Source organism: Homo sapiens, chromosome 1 (assembly GCF_000001405.40).
Source record: "Homo sapiens chromosome 1, GRCh38.p14 Primary Assembly".
NCBI lineage: Eukaryota > Metazoa > Chordata > Mammalia > Primates > Hominidae > Homo > Homo sapiens.
In genome coordinates, this window is record NC_000001.11 from 244,753,696 (window position 1) to 244,771,264 (window position 17,569).

General features: G+C 45.7%; 1 annotated feature.

Annotated features, from left to right (window-relative positions):
• Nucleotides 6,890-7,536: an enhancer, noted in NCBI's record as "H3K4me1 hESC enhancer chr1:244923887-244924533 (GRCh37/hg19 assembly coordinates)". NCBI's record gives its function as "activates a minimal SCP1, AML or CMV promoter by ChIP-STARR-seq in naive H9 embryonic stem cells {active_cell/tissue: H9 hESC(naive)}" and the evidence as "EXISTENCE:reporter gene assay evidence [ECO:0000049][PMID:30033119]".

Genomic DNA, 17,569 nt, shown 5'->3' on the forward strand with positions numbered 1-17,569 from the left:
TGCAGTGGTGCAATCATAGCTCACTGCAGCCTCTAACTCCTGGGCTCAAGTGATCCTCCTGCCTCAGCCTCCCAAGTAGCTAGGACTACAGGTGCATACCACCACACCTGGCTAATTTTTTTTTTTTTTTTTTGAGACAGGGTCTCACTCTGTCACCCAGGCTGGAGTGCAACGGCGCAGTCTTGGCTCACTACAACTTCTGCCTCCCAGGTTCAAGCGATTCTCCTGCCTCAGCCTCCCAAGTAGCTGGGACTACAGGCACACACCACCACGCCCGGCTAATTTTTGTATTTTTAGTAGAGATGGGGTTTCACCATGTTGGCCAGGCTAGTCTCAAACTCCTGACCTTGTGATCTGCCCACCTCGGCCTCCCAAAGTGCTGGGATTACAGGCATGAGCTACCGTGCCCGGCCAATGTTTTTATTTTTTATTTTTTGTAGAGCAGGGGTCTCACTGTGTTGCCCAGGCTGGTTTATTTTTTATGTTTTGTAGAAACAGGGCTCACTATGTTGCCCAGGCTGGTCTCAAACTCCTGGGCTCAAGTGATCCTCCTGCCTCAGGCTCCCAAAGCATTGGGATTGAAGGCGTGAGCCACTGCAACTGGCCACCAGCTTCTTTTAATCCTGCTACTTCTCTTTTCTCCTCTTTTCAGGAAGAAAAATAAAATTAGTCCTTTTCCCTTGTTCATGGCAAAGGAGTTTCTCCTTTCTACTGATTTTTTTTTTTGACACTTGTAGGCTGACTTCAGGATTTTACCTCCCTGAAGCATGCTTGGTATTTTCCTAGAGATACATATTTCTACCTAAGAAGGATTCTTTTGCACCTCCTTACGTTAAGGATGTTTCTATTGTTATAACGTAGACCTTTGCAGGATTACCTCCCAGTAAGATCACAGGTGGTGGGTGGATGAATGAGGAAGGGGGAGAAATATTCTTGAGTCAGCATCGTTTGAACTAACACTACCACAACCACCATCATCACTTCCATTCATTAACTCTTGCTGGTGTTTTTTTGTTTGTTTGTTTTGCTTTGCTTTGTTTGGAGACGGAGTCTCACTCTGTCGCCCAGGCTGCAGTGCAGTGGCGTGATCTCGGCTCACTGCAACCTCCGCCTCCCGGGTTCAAGCGATTCCCCTGCCACAGCCTCCGGAGTAGTGGGGACTACAGGCGCCCGCCACCAGGCCTTGCTAATTTTTTGTATTTTAGCAGAGATGGGGTTTCACCATGTTGGCCAGGATGGTCTTAATCTCCTGACCTCATGATCCACCCACCTTTGCCTCCCAAAGTGCTAGGATTATAGGCGTGAGCCATCACGCCCGGCCAACTCTTGCTGTTTTAAGTAATGTAAGGGCATTGCATATAGGATCTCATTTCAGCCTCACAACAGGCCTATGAGATAGGTAGAAAGAGACTCCCATTTCACAAGTGAGGACACTAAACAACAAATTGCCACTGAATGCTCTGCGGCTGAGCAGAGATGACAGGCTAGCTAGGAAAGGCTTGTGGATAGAACCCTGCCTTGTGGATCAGCTGGGAATTTGACTTGCCCTCCCGGATGGACAACTAGAAACTACCAGGCAGGGGTAGAGGGAGGTCTGGAAGATTTCAATCAGGCACAGATATGGGTTTTTTTGTTTGTTTGTTTGTCTTTTTGTGTATTTATTTTATTTTATTTTATTTTTATTTATTTATTTTTGAGACGGCGTCTCACTGTGTCACCCAGGCTGGAGTGCAGTGGCGCCATCTCAGCTCACTGCAACCTCCGCCTCCTGCGTTCAAGTGATTCTCCTGCCTCGGCCTCCTGAGTAGCTGGGACTATAGGCGTCCACCACTACCCCCAGCTAATTTTTTGTATTTTTAGTAGAGATGGGCTTTCACCATGTTGGGCAGGCTGGTCTCAAACTGCTGACCTCGTGATTCGCCTGCCTCGGCCTCCCAAAGTGCTGGGATTACAGGCGTGAGCCACCACACCCGGCCAGATATGGGATTTTTATGAGAGAAGGCTTTGCTACTGTTCTTACGGAAGGATTAGATGCATAATTAGATGCTGTCTTGTGTTGGGAAATAGGAAGGCCCCAGCGATGTGGAGACAGGGCGCTGGAAAGGAAGGGCCCAGACGAAGCTGCACCAGGTTCCTGGGAATAGAAAATAGTTCCCTTAAACCAGGGATGCAAAGGGACCGGCTCTGTTTGCTTGTTAATCACATTAGCTATTGTAGATCATGAACCTCCAGCTCGTAAACATAGCGTTGTATACTCTGAGTTCTTTCTGTGGCTTATTCCATGTTTTTGCTGCCTTTGTAATCCTCTTAGATGATGGCAGCCTACTTCCTTTGTGATTAAGAAGATATACAAAGGGATTTTTTTATAGTCACTGGGACAGTTTTTTCTTTCTTTCTTTTTTTTTTTTTGAGACAGAGTCTTGCTCTGTCTCCCAGGCTGGAGTGCAGTGGCACAATCTCGGCTCACTGCAACCTCCACCTCCCAGTTTCAAGGGATTCTCCTGCCTCGGCCTCCTGAGTAGCTGGGATTATAAGTGTCTACCACCACGCCTGGCTAATTTTGTATCTTTAGTAGAGACAGGGTTTCACCATATTGATGAGGCTGGGCCTTGAACTCCTGATCCGTGGTGATCTGCCTGCTTTGGCCTCCCAAAATGCTGGGATTACAGGCGTGAGCCACTGTGCCCGGCCATCTTTTTAACATTATAATTATTTTGAAAATTTCAATAGTTTTGGGGGTACAGGTGGTTTTTGGGGTACATGGACGAGTTCTACAGTGTGAATTCTGAGATGCTGGTGCATCTGCACCTGAGCAGTGTACCCTGAACCCAATATGTATTCTCTTATCCCTCATCCCCCTCCTCACCTCCCACTTCCCCAAGTCCCCAAAGTTCCTTACAGGGACAAAGTTTTAAAGGCAAACTACAGCTTGCATCCAGATAAGGTAATGGGAGAGCAAATCTAGAGAGAGTTTCTGAAAGAAAGAGAATTCAGAGGGGAGGAGGCTGGGAAGACACAGCCACCCTCCACTGCCTCTGCCCTTTGCCCTGAGTTCTCCTCCTAGAACTTTGAGGTCATAACAACCAATACAACAAGTGGGCTCTGTAAGCTTCCTGATTTAGATAAATTGGCTGTGAAATGGGAAGTCTGAATACGGACTTGGTATTAGATGCCACTGTCTTAGGGTTCTCTAGAGGGACAGAACTATTAGGATATATATATATATACACACACACACACACCATATATAAATATATAAATATATATACACCATATATAAATATATATACACCATATATAAATATATATAAAAATATATATATACATATATATATATAAATAAAGGGGAGCTTATTAAGTACTAACTCACGTGATCACAAGGTCCCACCATAGGCCGTCTGCAGGCTGAGGAGCAAGGAAGCCAGTCTGAGTCACCAAACTGAAGAACTTGGAGTCTGATGTTCAAGGGCAGGAAGCATCCAGCCTGGGAGAAAGATGTCCGCTGCGAGTCTAGGCCAGTCTAGTCCAAGGACAGCTGTGAAGCTCTTGGTTGGTATAGCTGTGACTACGGCACAGCAAACCAGGCGGCGGTGCAGCCCACGCAACCCCGAGGCCATTGGTGCCTTTTGTGGACGGCTAGGCCAGAGCCTTTTCTGTCGAAGTCAAGTGCAGAGTTCGGGCAATGCACCGTGTGAGTGTGTCAGCAATCTCCAAGTTCTCGAGGTGTGCACTGAAGAGGTCCTCCCACCCTGAGGTTGTTGGGCAGAAAATGCAGGTGATTCAAATAAACTGGGGCTGAGCCCTCAATGGCTAGGATAAGTGATATGCTCCAGTCTCTGCTTTGTTCAAAAGGGACTTGGGCCAAAGGCTGCATTTATCTTGGCAAATGTTTTATTTAAGAAAGCCCAACACATTTATTTCAGTCAACACATTCCTTATTGAACACTCAACAGTCAACACAGCCTCAGAAAAAAATATGAGTAAGTAATTAATGTTGTATCTGAAAGGAAAGAAAAGCTTCAATCTCTGTGGTTTCGATAACAGCTGCTAAAATGTCAGAACCAGGTTTTCAGAACTTTCCCACCAGTGGAGATGGGGCTAGATGGTGGATTTTGGAAGAGGCAGCCTAGTCATGGCTTTCTTTTGCAGCTCGGCATCTGTTCATCCCCTCAGAACTGCCCCAGGCCTTCAGCCTCCCTATTAAATGACCCCCCTCCTCTCAGGCCAGAGGATAGAATCCAAACTGAGTCAGAGAAATTCTGTCCCCAGGGCCAGGCTTGGTAGCTTCTGCCTGTAATCCCAGCACTTTGGGAGGTCGAGATGGGAGGATTGCTTGAGGCCAGGAGTTTGAGACCAGCCTGGGCAACATCGTGAGACCCTGTCTCTATTTTTTTAAAAAAAAGATTTAAAAAAAAAGAAAAAATCTGTCACCCAGGAGCTTGTAATTGGGACAGAGATTCTGGCTAGGTAGGTGTGGTTGCAGGAGCTGGAAAGTGATGTTGATTCAGGGGTGAAGAAACCATCATACCCACTGTTGTACACGCCACTGTACCCAAGCTTTAGGGATGTGGAGCATTACGTTATATGTAAGATGCAGGGTGTCTGTCCCTTCAATACACTCAAACTCTTTCAAGCAAGAAATATGACATATTCATTTTATTGAATACAACAGACTACGATTTTTTTTGGTTTTTTGGGTTTTTTTTGAGACAAGATCTCATTCTGTCTCCTAGGCTGGAGCGCAGTGGCATAATCATAGCTCACTGAAATCTCTAACTCCTGGGCTCATGCAGTCCTTCCACCTCAGCTGCCCAAGTAGCTGGGACTACAGGTGCATACTACTATGCCCTGCTAATTAAAAAAAAAAAAAATTGTTTTTTGTAGAGACGAGGTCTCACTATGTTGCCCAGGCTGGTCTGGAACTCCTGGGCTCAAGTGGTCCTCCCACCTCAGCCCTGCAGAGTGCTTGGGGTTACAGGCGTGAGCCACTATGCCCTGCTGAGACTAAGATTTTTCAGCTCACATGTGAACCAGTTTCTCAAGGTCATTTAGGAACTCACCAGAAAATCCAACTGGAACTTGGATTTCTCCAATCCAAAGTGGCTTATACCCTATGAATGAGAACCACTTCCTCCCTTGGAGTGCCACAAATACATCACTTCAGTCACCAGATAATGTGAATTTAAATGTCCGACGGTGCTAAATGCTAAGCAGTATTGTAACCTGAACCATCTAGAGGCTTATCAAAACAGCCGGCATTGGGCAGAGAATTGCCAGCCCTGAAATCACTGTACGCAGCAGACCTTTAGAATTATGTATATTTTAGGTGATGAATGTTATCTTCAGCTCTATTTTTAGCTTCCCCAGCCTACAAAAGCATTTGCAAGAACAGAGAAAATCTCTGTGACAAAATCTATTAAGTGTGAATTGCTCACCTGGTATCTCAGAGACAGAAACAGTACAAGTTCTCAGGTTGCACTTTTAAAAAAAATTCTGGAAAGTAACGCAAATAGATTTTAAAATTTTTACCTCTTCATAGAATACTTAACACCCTTTGTAATTAGAACATTCCTTAAGGTCTGCAAATTAAATCATTAGCACTGCGTCTTTTCAGGAGTGAAGCTGCTGAGAAGCTGAAAAAATAAGATTTCGTTTTCCTTGACATCCAGATTTTAAAACTACCGTAAGAATTGTTTCCACAACAAAGTATGGGGTTGGTGTCTGGAATTTCTGTAAGGAATGCACAGCATTCGCATTTCCATGTGACGTGACGGCATCCATCTCACAGCCGGGCACTTCACCTGAGACTTTAAGGAAATGCAACATGGCCCAGGCTGAATTTGTTGTCTTCCACTCCAGCAACATTGACACAGATAATCCATCCACAGAAGTCAACCACTGAGAGGTCAGGATTCAGGGAAATAAACTGCAATTAGAAGGTTCCCTGAGGGCCAGGCATGGTGGCTCACACCTGTAATCCCAGCACTTTGGGAGGCCAAGGCGGGTGGTTCACTCAGGTCAGGAGTTCAAGACCAGCCTGGCCAACATGGTGAAACCACATCTCTACTAAAAATACAAAAAATTAACCAGGACTGGAGGTGGGGCCTGTAATCCCAGCTACTCAGGAGGCTGAGGCAGGAGAATCGCTCAAACCCAGAAGGCGGAGGTTGCGGTGAGCCAAGATTGCGCCACCGCACTCCAGCCTGGGCAACAAGAGTGAGAAACTCCTGAGATGCAGGCTGGGCGCGGTGGCTCACACCTGAAATCCCAGCACTTTGGGAAGCAAGGCGGGCCAATCACTTCAGGTCAGGAGTTTGAGACCAGCCTGGCCAACAAGGTGAAACCTCATCTCTACTAAAAATACAAAATTAGCCAGGCATGGTGGCACCTGTAATCCCAGCTACTCGGGAGGATGAGGCAGGAGAATCGCCTGAACCTGGGAGGCAGAGGCTGCTGTGAGCTGAGATCATGCCACTGCACTCCAGCCTGGACAAGAGCGGAACTCAGTCTCAAAAAAAAGGTAACCTGAGAAGCAAAAGGAACTGGGGGGTCCTGTAGGACATTTGCCCCTGACTGGTATAGGGCCTAAGAAATGTGCCCCGTCCACCGTCCACCATGGTGCACCTTCCAGAGCCCCGGGCTGCCTCCCAGACCCTCAGGTGCCCATGTGCGCTGCTCTCAGAGAGTGGCTTCACATTGCATCTCGAGGATTTCTTTCCACATAGCTTATGAAGAGGGCCAGTCTCCGGAGCATAGGTGAGGACACACTCCACAAGGTGTTCCAATTTGCCAGATGTCGATTGTTACCGTTACATCTGACCCTGGGGCTGGTCTCAGGGGGCTAACTAGGGAAGCCAGGGCCCTGGTGAGGCCACAAGCCACACCCATCCAACCAGCCTCCATGTCAGGGCATGCCACGGGTCACAGTGGGCATCCGGCAGAGAAACTGGTTCCAGCAGTGGCTCAGAGGGGGCGTCCCCACGCCACAGAAGCAGCAGCGGAGGGCCTGTTTTCACACCCAGGCTCTGACAGTTGCCAGGGGGATGTTTCTTCCCTTACTGATTCGCAGTGTCTTCATTTGTAAAACAAAGATGGTTATATCAACTTCAAGGAGTGAGAATTAAATGGGAGGTATGAAAGTACTCTGTGAAGTGCAATGAGAAGTGAGATATTATTATGAGTTCCTGAGGAAACTGAGGCTCATCATAATGTACTAGCACCCAGCACATAGCCCTACATAAAGGAAGGGCTTAATAAATATTGGAGAAAAGGGAGGATTATTATGATTATTTCCTTTTTTTTCTTTTTCTTTTCTTTTTTTTTTTTTTTTTTGAGATGGAGTTTTGCTCTTATTGCCCAGGCTGGAGTGCAGTGGTGCGATCTCAGCTCACTGCAACCTCCACCCCCCAGGTTCAAGTGATTCTCCTGCCTCAGCCTCCCGAGCAGCTGGGACTACAGGCATGTGCCACCATGTCCAGCTAATTTTTGTATTTTTTTTTTTTTTTAGTAGAGACGGGGTTTCACCACATTGGCCAGGCTAGTCTCGAACTCCTGACCTCAGGTGAGCCACCCGCCTCGGCCTCCCAGAGTGCCAGGATTACAGGGGTGAGCCACTGCGCCCGGCCGTATTATGATTATTTCTAAGTGTGCTGATCCCCCGTCCCGCCACCCCGCAGCGGCAGACCACGATGTGCAGGGGAGGAAAGAGGGTGCTCCCTGCTGGGAGCTGGAAATTCCTGGGGGTGGTCTTTTGAGGAATGTAGGAGCAAGGAGATCATGGTCAGCCTTCTACAGGCATCGGATGCTTTTTTTCCTTAAAAAAAAAAAAAAAGTAACAATCGGATCGGGCTTTAGTTTCCAGGCAACCGTGTTGCATGAGTCCCACGTGGTGGCAGGTCTTCCATGCATGAGCCATATTTACGGTGAACGGCGGCAACTCCATGCCCAGGAACAGGGCTCAGACCCGCACTGAGACTTTAGCGGGTTTCTTAACCTTTTCTGTGCCACGGACCCCTTTGCCAGTCTGGTGAAGTTTATGAACCTCTTCTAAGAATAATGTTTCTAGACACATTAAAAGTAAAATGTATAGAATTATAAAGGAAACAAATCATATCAAATATTTTATTTTTATTATTCTGTTTTTATTTTTTGAGACAGGGTCTTGCTCTGTCACCCAGGCTGGAAGATAGCGGCACAAGCCTAGCGTACCGTAACCTCAAATTCTTGGGCTCAAAGAATCCTCCTGCCTCAGCCCCTTGAGTAGGTAACACTGCAGGTGTCCAACGCCATGCCTGGCTAATTTTTTATTTTCATTTTTAATTAAAAAAATTTTTTGTGGGCACATAGTATGTGTATATATTTATGGAATGCATGAGATATTTTGGGACAGGCATGCAATGCATAATAATTACATCGGGGTAAATGGGGTATCCCTTTGTGTTAAAAACAATCTAATTATACCCTCCCTTCCTTCCTTCCTTCCTCTCTCTCTCTCTCTCTTTCTTTCTCTCTTGAGACAGTCTCACTCTGTCACCCAGGCTGGAGTGCAGTGGCATGATCTCAGTTCACTGCAACCTCCACCTCCTGGGTTCAAGTAATTCTCATGCCTCAGCCTCCCAAATAGCTGGGATTACAGGTGCATGCCACCATAACTGGCTAATTTTTATATTTTTAGTAGAGATGGGGTTTCACCATGTTGGCCAGGCTGGTCTCAAACTCTTGGCCTCAAGTGATCCACCTGCCTCAGCCTCCCAAAGTGCTGGGATTAGATACCCTTTTAGTTATTTTTAAATGTACAATTAAATTATTGTTGACTATAGTCACCCTGTTGTGCTATCAAATACTAGATCTTATTCATTCTTTCTATTTTTTTGTACCCATTAACCATCCCCACCTTTCCACCAGCACCCCCAGTACCTTTCCCAGCCTCTGGTAACCATCCTTCTACCCTCTATCTCCATGAATTCAATTGTTTTAATTTTTATCTCTCAGAAATGACTGAGAATAAGTGAAGTTTGTCTTTCTGTCCCTGTCTTGTTTCACTGAACATAATTACCTCCAGCTCCATCCATGTTGTTGCAAATGACAGGATCTCATTCTTTTTCATGGCTGAATAATACTCCATTGAGTATATGTACCACATTTTCTTTATCCATTCATCTGTTGATGGACACTTTGGTTGCTTCTAAATCTTGGCAATTGTGAATAGTGCTGCAACAAACATGGGAGTGGGTATTTCTTCGATATACTGAATTCCTTTCTTTTTTACACTCTTGTATACACTCTTGCCAACACTTGTATGGCAGCTCTATTTTGGTTTTTTGAGGAACCTCCAAACCATTCTCCATAGTGGTTGTACTAATTTACGTTCCCACCAATAGTGTTTAAGGGTTCCCTTTTCTCCACATGCTTGCCAGCATGTGTTATTGCCTATCTTTTGGATAAACGCCACTTTAACTGGGGTGAGATATCTTATTGTAGTTCTAACTTGGATTTCTCTGAAGAACAATGGTGTTGAGCACCTTTTCATATGCCTGTTTGCCATTTGTATGTCTTTTGAGAAATGTCTATTCAGATCTTTTACCCATTTTCAAAATTGGATCACTAGATATTTTCCTATGAGGTTTTTTGTTTGTTTGTTTTGGGGGGGTTGTTTCATTTTGTTTGGTTTCAAGGCAAGATCTCTCTGTCACCCAGACTGGAGTGCAGTGGTACAATCTCTGCTCACTGCAACCTCCGCCTCCCATGCTCAAGCAATCCTCCCACCTCAGCCTCCTGAGTAGCTGGGACTACAGGTACATGACCATGCCTTGCTAATTTTTGTATTTTTTGTAGAGATGGGATTTTGTCATGCTGCTCAGACTGGTCTCAACCTCCTCGACTCAAGCCATCCACCCACCTCAGCCTCCCAAAGTGCTGAGATTACAAGTATGAGCCACCACACCCAGCCTTTCCTACAGGGTTGTTTGAGCTCGTTATATATTCTGGTTATTATTTTTATTATTATTATTATTATTTGAGATGGAGTCTTGCTCTGTTGCCCAGGCTGGAGTGCAGTGGCACGATCTCCGCTCACTGCAACCTCCACCTCCTAGGTTCAAGTGATTCTCCTGCCTCAGCCTCCTGAGTAATTGGGACTACGGGCGCCCACTACCACTCCGAGCTAATTTTTGCTGTTATTAATCCCTTGTTAGATGGAAAATCTGCAAACATTTTTCTCCCATTTGGTGGATTGTCTCTTCACTTTGTTGACTGTTTTCTTTGCCCAGTTCAATGTCCTAGAGAGTTTCCCCATTGTTTTCTTGCAGCGGTTTCATAGTTTGAGGTCTAAAATGTAAATATTTAATCCATTTTGTTTCTTTTTCTTTTAGAAACAGAGTATCGCTCTGTCACCCAGGCTGGAGTGCAGTGGCGCAATCTTGGCTCACTGCATCCTCCACTTCCTGGGCCCAAGTGATCCTCCTGCCTCAGCCTCCTAAGTAGCTGGGACTACAGGTGCATGCTACCACACCTGGCTAATTTTTAAAAATGTGTTATTGAATTCAGTTTGCTAGTATTTTTTTTGAGGGGGGTGCTGCAGAGTCTTGCTCTGTCACCCAGGCTGGAGTGCAGTGGTGCAATCTCAGATCTCGGCTCACTGCAGCCTCTGCCTCCCGGGTTCAAGCGATTCTCCTGTCTCAGCCTCCTGAGTAGCTGGGATTACAGTCGTGTACCATCACACCCAGCTAATTTTTGTATTTTTAGTAGAGACAGGGTTTCACCATGTTGAGCAGGCTAGTCTTGAACTCCTGACCTCAGGTGATCTGCCCTCCTCAGCCTGTCAAAGTGCTGGGATTACAGGCGTGAGTCACTGCACCCGGTCTTGCTAGTACTTTGATGAGGATTCTTGCATCAGTCTTCATCAGGGATACTGGCCTGTAGTTTTCTTTTCTTTACTTTTTTTGTTTGTTTGTTTGTTTGTTTGTTTTTGGCAGCAGGATAATACTAGCCTCATAGAATGAGTTTGGAAGTATTCTCTAATTTTCAGAATAGTTTGAGTAGGATTGGTAATATTTTTCCTTAAATGTTTGGTAGAATTCAGCAGTGAAGCTATCAGGTCCCAGGCTTTTCTTTGCTGGGAGACTTTTTATTGCGGCTTTAGTCTTATTACTGGTTTTTGTTCTGTTCAGGTTTTGAATTTCTTCATGGTTCAATCTTGGTGTGTCTGGAATGTATCCACTTCTTCTAGATTTTCCAATTTATTGACACATAGTTGCTCATAGTAGCCTCTAATGATCCTTTGAATTTCTGTGGTATCAGTTGTAACGTCTCCTTTTTAATCTCTGATTTCATTTATTTGTATCTTCTCTCTTTTTTCTTAGTCTGGCTAAAGTTGGTTATTTTTGTTTATCTTGTTAAAAAAACAAACTTTTCATTTCATGGATCTTTTGTATTGTTTTCTTCATTTCAATTTTATTTATTTCTGTTGTTTTGTTTTGAGATAGTCTCACGTTGTTGCCCAGGATGGAGTGTATTGACACACTCACAGCTCACTGCAGCCTCAACCTCCCAGACTCAAGTCATCCTCCCATCTCAGCCCCTCAATTATCTGGGACTACAGACATGTGCCACCATGCTCGGCTTAGTTTAAAAAATTTTTTTTGTATAAACAGGGTCTCAGTATGTTGCCCTGGCTGGTCTGGAGTTCCTGGGCTCAAGCCATCCTTCTGCCTCTGCCTCCCAAACTGCTGGGATTATAGGCATGAGCCCCTGCACCTTGCCTACTGTGATCTTTATAATATTTTTTCTTCTACTAATTTTGAGTTTGGTTTGCTTTTGCTTTTTTGATTTTTTAAGATGCATCTTTAGGTTGTTCATTCCAAGTTTTTCCTCGTTTTTATATAGGCACTTATAGCTATAAACTTCCCTGTTAGTACTGTTTTTGCTGTATCCATGGGTTTTGGTATGTTGTGTTTCGACTATCATTTGTTTCAATAAATGTTTCGATTCCCTTCTTAATTTCTTCATTGGCCCACTGGTCCTTCAGGACCATACTGTTTAATTTCCATATGTTTGTATAGTGTCTAAAATTCCTCCTGTCGTTGACTTCTAGTTTTACTTCATTGTGGTCAGAGAAAATACTTGATATTCTTTCAATTCTTTCATTTTTTTTTTTTTTTTGTGACAGAGTCTCACTCTGTCATGAGGCTGGAGTGCAGTAGTGCGATCTCAGCTCACTGCAACTTCTGCCCCCTGGTTCAAGTGATTTTCCTGCCTCAGCCTCCCGAGTAGCTAGGACTACGCGTGCCACCATGCCCGGCTAATTTTTGTATTTTTTAGTAGAGACAGGGTTTCACCATGTTGTCCAGGATGGTCTCCATCTCTTGACCTCGTGTTCTGCCCACCTCGGCCTCCCAAAGTACTGGGATTATATTTTATTTCTTCTTCACGTTTGAAGGATATTTTCATCAAATATACTATTCTAGGATAAAACTCTTTTATCCTTCAGCACTTTATTTTTATTTTTTATTTTTTGAGACAGAGTTTCACTCCTGTTGCCCAGGCTGGAGTGCAATGGCTTGATCTCAACTCATTGCAACCTCCATCTCCCAGGTTCAAGCAATTCTCCTGCCTCAGCCTTCCAAGTAGCTGGGATTACAGGCGTATGCCACCACGCCTGGATAATTTTGTATTTTTAGTAGAGATGGGATTTCTCCATGTTGGTCAGGCTGGTCTCTAACTCCTGACCTCAGGTGATCCGCACCCCCCAGCCTCCCAAGTGCTGGGATTACAGGCGTGAGCCACTGCATCCAGCCTATTCAGCACTTTAAATATATCATGCCACTCTCTCCTGGCCTGTAAGGTTTCCACTAAAAAGTCTGCTGCCAGATGTATTGGAGCTCCATTGTATGTTATTTGTTTCTTTTCTCTTGCTGCTTTTAGGATCCTTTCTTTTTCCTTGACCTTTGGGAGTTTGATGATTCAATGCCTTGAGGTCGTCTTCTTTGGTGTTCTATAACCTTCTTGTACTTGGATATCAATATCTTTCTCTAGGTTTAGGAAGTTCTCTGTTTTTATCCCTTTGAATTAACTTTCTACCCCATCTCTCTCTCTCTGCCTCCTCTTTAAGGCCAATAAGTCTTAGACTTGTCCTTTCAGAGGTATTTTCTAGGTCCTTTTAAGTGTGCTTCATTGTTTTTCAGTCTTTTTTTCTTTTGTTTCCTCTGTCTGTATATTTTCAAATAGCCTGTGTTCGAGCTCACTAATCCTTTCTTCTGCTTGATTAATTCTGCTATTAAAGGACTCTAATGCATTCTTTAGTTTGCCAGTTGCATTTTTCCGGTCCGGAATCTCTGCTTGATTCTTTTTAATTATTTCAATTCTTTGTTAAATTTATCTGATAGAATTCTGAATCCCTTCTCTGTGTTCTCTTGAATTTCTTTGAGTTTCCTCAAAACAGCTGTTTTGAATTCTGTGTCCAAAAAGTCAAATATCTCTGCTTCTTCAGGATGGGTCTCTGGTTCCTTATGTAGCTCATTTGGTGAGGGCATGTTTTCCTGCAGGGTCGTGATGCCTGTGGATGTTCATTGGTATCTGGGCATTGAAGAGTTAGTATTTATTATAATCTTCACTGTCTGGGCTTGTTTGTACCTGTCCTTCTTAGGAAGGCTTTGTGCATATCAGATGGGACTTGAGTGTTGTGATCTAAGCTTTTGGTCACTACAGCCATATCTGCCTTAGGGGCCCCCCAAGCCCAGTAACACTGTGGTTACTCTTAGAGGTAACCACAGACTCTTAGAGGTACTGCCTTGGTGGTACTGAATATAAGATCTGGAAGAATTATCTAGATTACCATGCAGAGACTCTTGTTCTCTTTCCTTACCTTTCTCCCAAACAAACAGAGTCTCTCTCTGTGCTGAGCTGCCTGGAGCTGGGGAAGTGGTGACACAAGCACCCCTGTGGCCACCACTACTGTGACTGCACCAGGTCAGACCTGAAGCCAGCGCAGCTCTGGGTCCCACCCGTGGCCTGCTATAACCACCGCCTGGCTACGACCTGTGTTTGCTCAAGGCCCTAAGGCTCTACAGTCAGTGGGTGGTGAAGCCAGGCTTGTGCTCTTCCCTTCAGAGCGGCAAGTTCCCCCAGGTGCTAGGTGGGTCCAGAGATGCTATCTGGGAGCCAGGACCTGGAGTCAGAAACTTTAGGAACCTACCTGGTGTTCTATCCTATTGTAGCTGTGCTGGCACTCGAACTACAAGACAAAGTCCTTCCCAGTCTTCTCTCCCCTCTCCACAGGCAGAGGATTCTCTCCTCATGGCCACCACCACCGTGGACCCAGGGGGAGTACAGCCTGGCTACCACCAATGCTCACTTAAAGCCTAGGGCTCTTCAGTCAGCTGGTAGTGAATGCTGCCAGGCCTAGGACTCATCCTTCATGGAAGTGGGCTCCCCTCTGGCCTAGGGTAGATCCAGCAATGCCATCCAAATGCCAAGGCCTAGAATTAGGGGCCCCAAGAGCCCACTTGGTGCTACACCCCACTGTGGCTGAGATTATACCTAGGCTGAGTTCTGCCTGGTTTTGACAAAGTCCCCTTTACCCTTCCCTCTCCTTTTCTCAAGCAAAAGTAGTCCCTCTTTATAGCCACCACAGTTAGAAATGTGCTGGGTCATGCCTGAAGCCAGCACGTCTCAGAATCTCACCCAAGGCCCATGACATACTCCCTGGGTATTGCTGCTGATTATTCAGGGTCTAAGGGCTCCTTAGTCAGCAGGTGATGCATTCTGCCAGGACTGTGTCCTTCCCATCAAGGCAGCAGTTTCCCTTCTGGCCCAGGGTATGTCTAGAAATGTAGTCCAGGAGCTAGGGCCTGGAATGGAGGCCTCATGACTCTACCTTGTGCCCTGTGCTACTGTGGCTGAGCTGGTTTCCAAGTTCCCTCTCCTCTCCTCAAGCAGGAGGAAGAAGTCTCTTTCAGAGCTGTGAACTGTGCTGCCTGAGGTCGGGGGATAAGTGGCACAAGCTCTCCCTTAGCTGCCCAGGCTTGTGTCTCTGTAGGCCATGTGCCCCCAAGTCCACTGGTTCCAAGCCCAGCACAGCACTAGGACTTGCCTAGGAGTTGTAGTCCTTGTGGCCTAGACTGCCTTTCACATTTATTTAGGATCCTAGAGCACTTTAGCCCATGGTGGCGAGATTTGCCAAAAGTCGGCTTTCCACCATTGGGATGGGCAAGTCCCCTGTGGCTAGGGCTGATCTAAATGCTGCCTCCGTTGCTGGCTGAGTTGTGCCTGATTTTACTTTGTGTTGTGATGGGGCAGCACTGAGTTCCAATGCAAAGTCCCCCAGTCACTGCGCTCTCCCTCCCCCAAGCACACAGGTTCTCTTTTTGTGCCTCACGGCCACTGTTAGGAGATTGGGGAGGGGTGGAGTCAGCAGTTCAAGACTATCTTTCCTACCCTCTTCAGTATCTCCTTCAGCAATGTGAAGTTAAAACCAGGTACTGTGATTGCTCACCTTATTTTTGATTCTTATGAAGGGGTGTGTGTGTGTGTGTGTGTGTGTGTGTGTGTGTGTGTGTGTGTGTAGATAGTTGTCAAATTTGACGTTCCTGTGGGGAGGACAATTGGGAGGCTTCTATTCAGCCGTCTTGCTCTGCCTCCTTCCCGTTTTCTTTCCTCCTTTCTTTTCCTTCCTTCCTTCCTTCTTTTTTTTTTCTTTTTTTGAGACAGGGTCTCACTCTTGTCCAGGCTGGAGTGCAGTGGTGCAATCATCGCTTCAGCAGTCCTTCCACCTCAGCCTCCCAAGTAGCTAGGATTACAGGCATGTGCCATCACACCCAGCTAATCTTTTCAGTTCTTGTAGAAATGGGATCTCACTGTGTTGTTCAGTCTGGTCTCAAACTCCTGGCCTCAAGTGATCCTCCCACCTTGCCCTCCCAATGTGCTGGGATTACAGATGTGAGCCACCTCACCTGGCCAAAGTATTTTTAAAATTTCTGATCAATCATATATTTGTGAGAAATTACCACATTCAATAACAAGATAAAGTGGGAGGTCTCGTTTCACTGTTAAAATTGCAAAGTAGTAATAAGTGCAGAAGATAGTTCATGCTCTCTGAAACAACCGTAACATGATATAAAAATGTCTGTGATTTCCATTGATGGTGACCAAGTCACTGGGACTGATAATGCTACTGTGGTTTGTTGCCTGGATTTATAATAATGCTCAATTTCAGTTCAAGGTTAGTAAATTTCCTATCTAACTCCATGGATCTCTTGCAATCTATCCATAGTCCTCAGGTTAAGAAGCCCTTCCTTAGAGTGAACAATTCAAGGTTCTAAATAACTTAGAAAAGATTCCCCTGCAGGCACGATGCAAGACAAATTCACTTACTATTTATTGCTGGGTCATTGGTAGCCCTTCATCCCTCGCTAAGCAGAACCTCAGGGGGCTGTACCTGGGAGGCATGTATAGATGTCCCGGTAAGAATGAACACAGAAGATGAGAGAATGACAGCGGGAGAGGAAGGGAGGGATGCAGAGGGAAACGCAAACATCCAGACTAAAAAGCACCTTTAGCCTTCACCTCCTGCCACTGCCCTCTGATCCCAAGCAGGGCTTGGAATCCAGAGAGGGGCTGCCTCCCTCAAGTCATTCCCCCTTTCCTTTATTCCTGTGACCAATTACAGATCAGTGAAGCTTAAGTTTTTTGCATTCACCTTTTTTTTTTTTTTTTTGAAATAAAGTTTTGCTCTTGTTGCCCAGGCTGGAGGGCAATGGTGCGATCTTGGCTCACTGCAACCAATAAGGTGGACCTCCCGGATTGAAGTGATTCTCCTGCCTCAGCCTCCTAAGTAGCTGGGATTACAGGCATGCACCACCACGCCCGGCTAATTTTTGTATTTTTAGTAGAGACAGGGTTTCTCCATGTTGGTCAGGCTGGTCTCGAACTCCTGACCTCAGGTGATCCACCCACCTCCGCCTCCCAAAGTGCTGGGATTATAGGCATGAGCCACCACGCCCGGCCAGCAGATTCACCTTTCAATCTCCCTTCCCATTTCCCTCCTAATCCCAAACACCCACATGTCAGTCTGAGTGCTTGGTTGTAACAGATGGTCTCCCTTTTCCCCTCCAGTTTATCCTGTACGCAGCTGTCAGACAATTTTTTCTGTGTGTCACTTTCTGCTCAAGGAACTTGCTGGGGAATCTCCATTATCACTGGTCCCACAGTCCACGTCTCTGTCTGGCTTTCAGGGCCCTTCATAATTTCACTCCATTCTCTCAACCAGGTTTATTTCTCATCAGTACTCACACTCACACTCCTTCTTGCCACACTCATGACTTTGTTGATGCTGTGCCCTTACCCGGAACTGTTCTCCTCCCACCACGCAGCCAAACCAAATTCAACCCATCCCACACACCCACCTGAAGATGGTTTTCCCCTGGCTGAGCTGAGCTGACCTGGCACTATTCTCAATGCCCAGTGCATGGACATTACCACATAGCCTGGTACTGAAGCATTTTCCAACTATTTCATGCTTAGTAATTATCTCTCCATGGACTCTAAATGCCTTGAGGATAGGAATCATCTTCTA